Consider the following 8,094-nt stretch of genomic DNA (forward strand, 5'->3'; position numbering starts at 1 on the left):
TGCTGGTGATGTTTTATATCTTGATCTGAGAGGGGGTTACATGTGGAGAATTTATTTTATGAAAAATTATTGAGCTGTACATTTAAGGTCTCTGCCTATATGTTATTTGTAGTAAACGGTTTGCTAGATAAATACCATTTTTATTTAAAAAATTCAATGCTGGATGGCTAGAAAGTTTCTGTAGGCCATAATTAAAAGACACGTCATTATTCCAGAAATCCTAAAATGTAGACAAAAGAAGAATACAACTTACAATTCAGCACTCATGTATTCATGCATTCATGTATTGTTTTCATTGTGATATAACTGATAAACAAAATGTATAGAGTTTAAATGTACAATTCAATAAGTTTTGATACCTATATACATTCATGAAATTAGAGCCCCAATCAAGATATAGACCATTTCTATCACTGCTTCAAGTTTCCTTGTGTTTCTTTCCAGTCAATGGCCTACCTAGAGGAAACCAATTGTTCTTTATGTCCCATTGAATTAGTAGCGCTTGTCCTTGAACATCTTAAATAGAATAATACAGCATATATATGCTTGTATTTGTCTTCCTTCACTTGTCATAATGTTTTTGATACTCATTCAAGTGTTGAATGTACTAATAGTTAATCTTTTATTTTATTAATATACCACATTTATGTATCTATTTCCCTATTATTGAATATTTGGGTTGTTTCTAGTTTGGGGTTATTATGAAGAAAACTGTTCAACATTCCTGCACAAGTCTTTCTTGAAATGTGACTTGTCTAAGAAATCTTTGCTTAACTTCAGGTGATAAAGATAATTTCCTGCATTTTCTTTTAGAAGCTTTATCTTTTTCTTTTATGTTTATGTCTATGATCTATCAAATTAATTTTTGTGCATACTGTGAGGTAGGGATCAAAGTTCATTTTTTTCCAGCTGCATTTGTTGAATGAAACCTTTTCTTTCCTCATTGTATTACCTTGCCTCACCTATTGACTGTCAACCAGCTGTAAGTGTGTAGGTCTATGTCTGGGCTTTCTATTCTGTTTTGTTGATCTCCTTACTTACTCTTATGCCAATAATACATGGCCTTGATTACTGTAGTTTTAGTGTAAGTCTCATTATGTAGTGAATATCTATGTATGTATGTATGTATCTCTCTATCTATCTTTAGGTAATGCTAATGCATTTGTAAACCTCTCTACAATGGAGATGAACTGCATCTAGTGTCCTAGGTGGTAACTTAATTTTATGTTTGATGAGAAAGAATCACTCATATTTCAAAAATCTTCTAGGGTAATGTACCTTAAAATACAGAAGTGTGTATGAAACTCAATAAAAAAGGTAATGCTGTTTATTAGATGAATTTCTAATGGCTTTGTTGACATTTCTATCCGTACTAGGAAGGCAGTTCTGAGTGGTAACTCTGACCATATCAAGTAGTGGCTTTGGGTATAGAGTAATTGGTGACTATGTTTTTATTTATTTACATTTTGGTCCCCAGTGGAACTTATAGCAGATTTGGTTGCCTTCCCAAATATCTGTCTTTCCCTCTTTTCTTCTTTGCTGTTTTTTATACTTCATTTTCTTCTTTTCTTCTGTACATTTTTTTTCAAAGAAAGTTATGCTACAGTCTCAACCCAAGGTAAATACAACTAGCCTTAAGGTAATTAGGTGGTCTAATTTCCCTTTTGTCAGTGATTGGTTGAGATATGGGAAAGTGATGCATTTCTAGCCAATGAGAGGTGATGGAGAAGCAGCTTTGGGATTCCTGTGAAAGAATTTCCAGGTGACAAAAAGAAAACTGGAGGTTGGGGGCAAAGTAGTAATTTATATGCTGCTTCTGTGGCTTCTGGATGTTGTCATGTCAGACTGTGCTGCCTAGAACTGTTGTAGGCATCTTATGATCATGAGGTCTACAGGATAACTTGCTGAATTAAACACAATAGAGAGAAGAAAGAAATCTGAGTCCTCAAAGAAATGGATGGAGCTAAAAATCATGTCCTAATCTGTCTCCAATCTTCCAGTTATGGGAGTTAATACATTTTGTTCATTGTTTAAATCATCTGAGTTGGGTTTTCTCTTATTGTTTCCCAAAGCATGGTATCTGATAAAACCATATTGCATTTTAGCAGCTCTTTGGTGAGCTAAGAACTCATACTGAAAATGTTAAATGAACAAACCATTAGTTTAAGAACTAAAGTATGAGGAAAAGCATAATTTATGGTTAAATTCTAGCTCTTGGGATATATGATTCTAAAAAGAGGAAAAACGCTTTATAAACTATGAAAAACATTGCATGAAGTTTTTATTGCTATGTCTTGGAATACAGTTACTTATGATCCAGGTAACTGTGGATGAATTGAGTAGAAAATGGAGATTAAGAGAAACAAAACCAGCTGCAGATACTGACAGAACATCTATAATCATACATTTCCTTTGCCTGATGAGCCATTGGGCTGAGAGAGTTGGGTAAGGTCTGAGCTTGCAAAGATATCAAGTGGCTCAGCTAAGGGGGCAGAGAGCAAGGCAGGGCCAGACAGAAGCAGCTCCAGTTTCTGTATAGAAGGGGCTTAAGGGATATAGGCAAATTGGGGCTTGGAGTTGCTTTTGCAAATAACTTTTCCTATCTGTCATCTGTGTCAAAGAATAGGGATAGGACAGTAGCCATGGAGTTAATTAACTCGTTTGGCGCAATGACTAAGGCCAGGCTAGTTGTCCTGTGTTGGGTTGAGAAAACCCACAGTCATTAAAAGCAAGTCAACCTCAACATCTATAGCTACTTTATTTTAAAATGAAGTTATTACTTCAAATCAAAAGTGCATAAAGAATTTCTGAAGAGTTTCTAAGCCAGAAAATTTCAGTTCAGGTTGGTTTGAAATCACAGGTAGTCTTTCAGTTTTCAATTTCATCAGAGGTGATGCTTCATAATTTGAACTTTTGATGCTGAAAATTGAACTGAAAATGAGACTCAAGACTCTCCTATAGTTCAACCATTCTGCCTTATTGGTATTATTATTATTATTATCACTAGGTTATCTTGTCCAAGGTGGAGAAGAAAGAGAGACCCAGTCTTTGCCTTTGAGATATACAACCACAATTCCAGGAAATACGTTTTTCAAATAGCCTGTGCATGGTGGGGAGTGGGGTCTTCTATTGATTTGAGACATGGTCTTTTCCACACTCAGGCACAGAGTCTTTTTTGCTCAATTTCTACATTTTAAAATTCTTCCAGTGGAAAGAGAATCAACATAGCTCTTAAAGAGGGGACAACTGCATGGAATTCACAGAGCAAATTGCCTGATTTTATTTTAACCCTTGTACACAGGCAGGGTTGGGAATTTATTGGAAGACCTGTCTTTCTTGCTAACGTGTTAACATGATATTCCTCTTTGGTTAATACATTTAAGTATTTACAAAGGTCTCTGGAAAAATAATGTGAAAAACTAGTTGCAACTCATGTTTACCCGGCCATGAGATGAATCTAGGATTTAAAAAAAAAAAAAGTATATCCTTAACTCATCTAAAAACTATAGACTAAAGAAAAAGACCCACAGTAAATATTTTCTATTTTAAAGTTAATATTAGTGACTACTATCTTTCTTTGTGTTGTCAGGTTCTCTCTCTCTGTGGTGTGTGCGTGTGTGTGTGTGTGTGTGTGTGTGTAGTAGTGCAACCTTCAAGATAAAGCTTTTTCTACCATCTTTGGTATACTTTTTAACTTGAGAAAAAATACTACCAGCTTACAAAAAATTCAAGACTGCATCTAACTAATCACAGAAAGTTGTATAAAAGAGCTTAGCCCTAAAGCATATGTGGGTCATACTAAAGTAGATGCCAGGCAGGACCCTGGGCTCATTGTTCAGAGCCTGTTCATGTCATGTTGCTGTAGTCAGTGGGTTAGTGGGTTCACTCATAACATGCTACATATTGATAATGTTGAATGGTATGTAATTTTTTTACCCTTATTGCTAATGTGAGACACTTCTGGTTTGACCGGTATCTGTGAGGGGCAATGAGAACGGTTCATTATTATCAAGTGAAAGACTTAAAAATATTGAAGCAGGGGTGCATCCCATGGGTCATGTCCTTCTCCACCCTTAGAGAGGTACCAAGTTTGCTGACTCCTTTCATACATCAAGATAGTGGAGATTGGGGTGAGCAAATGGAGAAATCAGGACCAGTGATTTTGGAAAGAGGTTGAGGGAGGGGAAGAGTCAGGAGAAGATGATGCTCTTAAAGAGGGCTCTTGGGAAAGAGAAGAGAGATTTGGACTACTATGAGTGGGATTCTGAGAAGAAAAATGGGAAAACATAATCTTTAGTATTTGTGTGTGTGTGTGTGTGTGTATGTATGTCAATCAATTTGTATTTCCACTTTCTGAAGTCTTCAGAAAAGCTCCAATCAAAATTGCCTTTTGCCACTGTCAACAGCAGGAGATGACCCAGTTTTATAAATGAAGGAGTGTTTATTCCACTTTACACCAAATGTTTTTGCCACTTGCCTTTCAAGCTTCCAGATTAGTTATTAAAAAGTTTCTTCAAATTATTCTCTGGTCTTGTTTAGCTATTAGGCAAAGGGTCCTGTAGCTTAGTGAAGGTCTGAGAGTGGGCACCTGGCCCAGATCTGGCTGATTGGACTAAAGAGAACTCTGTTGGAGGCTTCTGGAAGAGATGTTTTCTAATAGAAAGAGAGGGTTGTCTACAAAGAAACGGTTTCCTTCTGTCCTGGATGCCTCTTTGCTCCTGCTTTCTATGGTGTTGTGATGAACATGACTGTATTAGTCCATTCTCATATTGCTATATAGAACTGCCCGGAACTGGGTAATTTATAAAGGAAAGAGGTTTAATTGACTCACAGTTAGGCATAGCTTGGAAGCCCTCAGGAAACTTACAACCATGGCAGAAGGTGAATGGGAAGCAAGACATCTTTTTCACAAGGTGGCAGGAAGGAAAAGTGCCAAGTGAAGGGGGGAGAGCCCCTTATAAAACCATCAGATCTCTTGAGAACTCACTCACTATCAGAAGAACAGCATGGGAGAAGCTCACTCATTATCAGAACAGCATGGGAGAAACCACTCAATTACCTCCATCTGGTCCCTCCCTTGACATGTAGGGATTATGAAGATTGCAATTCAAGATGACATTTGAATGACCATGAAGTGGCCCTCCAGGGGTGGAAGGACAGCCTGCTGATGGTGGAATGGGAGGGCGGAAAGCCTTGGTCCTTTATGGCATTGTTGAGCTATTGAATTAGTTCCAGATTGTCTACTTTGGAGCACTGGTTCCAGTCTTCTAAGTGCTGTTTCTAATTGGTATACTTCTCTGTATTTCTTGGCTTTTGTTAATCAATAATAAATTCCCTTATGGTTAAGCTACTGACATTTAACTCCGACATGGAGCCAAAGGTGTTAGTAACTGGCACACAACACATTAGAAACTTTTGCCATTTGTAACCACTTCTTATGTGATCAAACAAAACAGAAATATATTGGAAATTAGAGCTTATAGAAAACTGCAACTGTTATCCATAACATTTAGTTTTCAATATCTGTGGTCATCAGAATCATCTGGCTTCATTGATTGACTTCATAATAGGCAAATATCACAAATGAAGTCAAATTATAAATTTTAGTTGGTAAAATTTTGCAATTTGCCTGTCTTACATTGGTTCCAATTAAGATTTCATTTGAAAAAAGCTAAAATAATTGAAAACCACAGCAAAAGCCAAAGGGAAGCAGGGTAGTTGAATTCATGTTTGTGTATATATGCATGTACTAATCACTGCATTCATCTGATCATTTAAATTCATTGAACCCCTCCTATGTGACATCGACTGTTCTGTGGGCTAGAGATTGAGAGCATAATAGAACACAGACTCTGACATCTATGTCAGGAACTCCATTTTGGTAAATGGCAACCACAATTCAGTAAGATGTTCAGGCTGAAAGCCATGTTGTCATTCTTGAATAGTATGTTTCTCACACATCCTATTTGTAATCCATCAGCAAAGCACTTTGAGTCTCCTTTTACAGCACTACCTGACTCTAACCTCTTTTCATGTTCTTCATTATCCTCACCCTAGTTCCAGCCAACATCATCTTCCACACTTATCCTTCTCTATGGTTTCTTCCCATATGGTAGCCAGAATGATTTAAAAAAAAGAACATAAAGGAGGTCATGACATTCTGTTCTTTTTAGCTCTTCCATGGCTGTGTAGTACTTTTCTTATTTACTTTTTAAGTGGTTTTATTTTATGTGCAAATAATGAACAAGTATTTTACCCATAAATTCTACTTTCCAAAATCAGGAGCGTTTTTAAAAGAAAGCCACATAACAGCTTTTAAAAGGCACTGGGATTCCTCTGCTTCTGGATTATTGCTAGGCTAGAAAAATAAAGTTTGTTCTACCAGGAATCACAAGTTAGAACTGAGTATTCTCCAAATTGGAAATTCTAGAGTATAGGGTCACTCCAGGCAAAGATTATTCAATTCTCATCCCCAACTACCTATCAGAAGGGTTAAACAAGGTCAAAACAGTCCAGCATAATTAGGCTTCATCAAACAATGTCATTATGCTCTTCTAAGATGCAAATAAACCAAACAGGAAATACTAAAATCAAAATAATATTTGACACTGTCATACAAGTTGTTAGTTCCTTGTTGTATCCTCCCCTTCTATAACATTAATAAAGAGAATATTTTCTGCAGAGAATATTTTATTTTACATATCACTAGCCATGAATTTTTGCCATTAGTTATTATACAAATGCTGCCTAGTGCCATTATCCAAATGGCATAAGCATTTTATGTCCACAATTCACTTCTATAGTTATAAGTAGAATTTTCATGATTTACGTAAGTACATCTATCGGTGAAGGTTTAACACTGAGATGCAATCTAACATCCGTGTATCTGATGTTTTGTAGGAAATATATATTTTAATCTCCTTTCATTTAAGTGATCTTATGTAAAAAATAAACTAATAATTGAGCAGTTCCAAGTCTCCAAGGGGCATTTTCAAATGTACATAAAAGAAATGATTACAGAGATGTTTAAGAAGCATCTTCATGTCCACATCCTCTTGTAACTGCTGTACCATTTTCTCTTCCAACTGCTTCCCTTTGCCTGCAAGAGGGGCTCAGATAAGCTGTATGTTTTGCTTGACTTATTTGATGTCCTGAACTTTCTGTAGCTCTTTATTCTTCTTCAATCTGTTCATTATACATTTAGCTTGGTGTTTCTGTTTGATCTCTTCAACCGTCTTCATTGCATCAATAGTTTTCTTCCATAGCTCTCACTGGTATGTGATAGGTTCATTTCTATGTTTTTCAAATTCAAATGAATGATCCACTGTAAGCTCTTCACCTGCTGCTTTCTGGAATGCTTTGGTCCACCTAACTTTGCGAGGATTGCACTTCTTTTTAAAGTTTTTATGACATTTAGATTTACAAAATCTGAACACCTTACAATTGTTGCAGACAAACATCATGTCGTGGCCAGGGTAGATGGGCCCCGAAAAGAAATAACACTTTTTTTTTTTTTTTTTTTTTTTTTTTTGAGACTGAGTCTCCCTCTATCACCCAGGCTGGAGGGCAGTGGCGCGATATCGGCTCACTGCAAGCTCCGCCTCCCAGGTTCACGCCATTCTCCTGCCTCAGCCTCCCGACTAGCTGGGACTACAGGTGCCCGCACCATGCCCGGCTAATTTTTTTGTATTTTTAGTAGAGACGGGGTTTCACCGTGTTAGCCAGGATGGTCCCGATCTCCTGACCTCGTGATCCATCCGCCTCGGCCTCCCAAAGTGCTGGGATTACAGGCGTGAGCCACCGCGCCCGGCCAGAAATAACACTTCTGATATGCATGTTGAACCCACGTGGCTCCCCACTGACCAAACGCAAACTTGAGAATGGCTGTATATTACTATTTAAAAAATCCAAATTCCTGTTCCTCGCATATGAAGTTTCTTTATGATCCAGCACCAATTCTCTCCCAACATAATTTTCTACCCTGCTGTTTCTCGTTGAATTCAGTCCAAGCATTCTGGCCTCCTTGGTGTTTGCTGCACACCCCAGCTATGTTTCCTCCTTAGTAACCTCGCCCTTGCTGATCACCTAATTCAG

The 8,094-nt window shown here is 37.3% G+C and overlaps 1 pseudogene; it reads right to left on the bottom strand.

Moving 5' to 3' along the window:
* Positions 1–6,753: 6,753 nt before the first annotated feature.
* Positions 6,754–7,880, bottom strand: RSL24D1P9 (ribosomal L24 domain containing 1 pseudogene 9; annotated as a pseudogene).

This window comes from Homo sapiens, chromosome 18, assembly GCF_000001405.40.
Source record: "Homo sapiens chromosome 18, GRCh38.p14 Primary Assembly".
Lineage (NCBI taxonomy): Eukaryota > Metazoa > Chordata > Mammalia > Primates > Hominidae > Homo > Homo sapiens.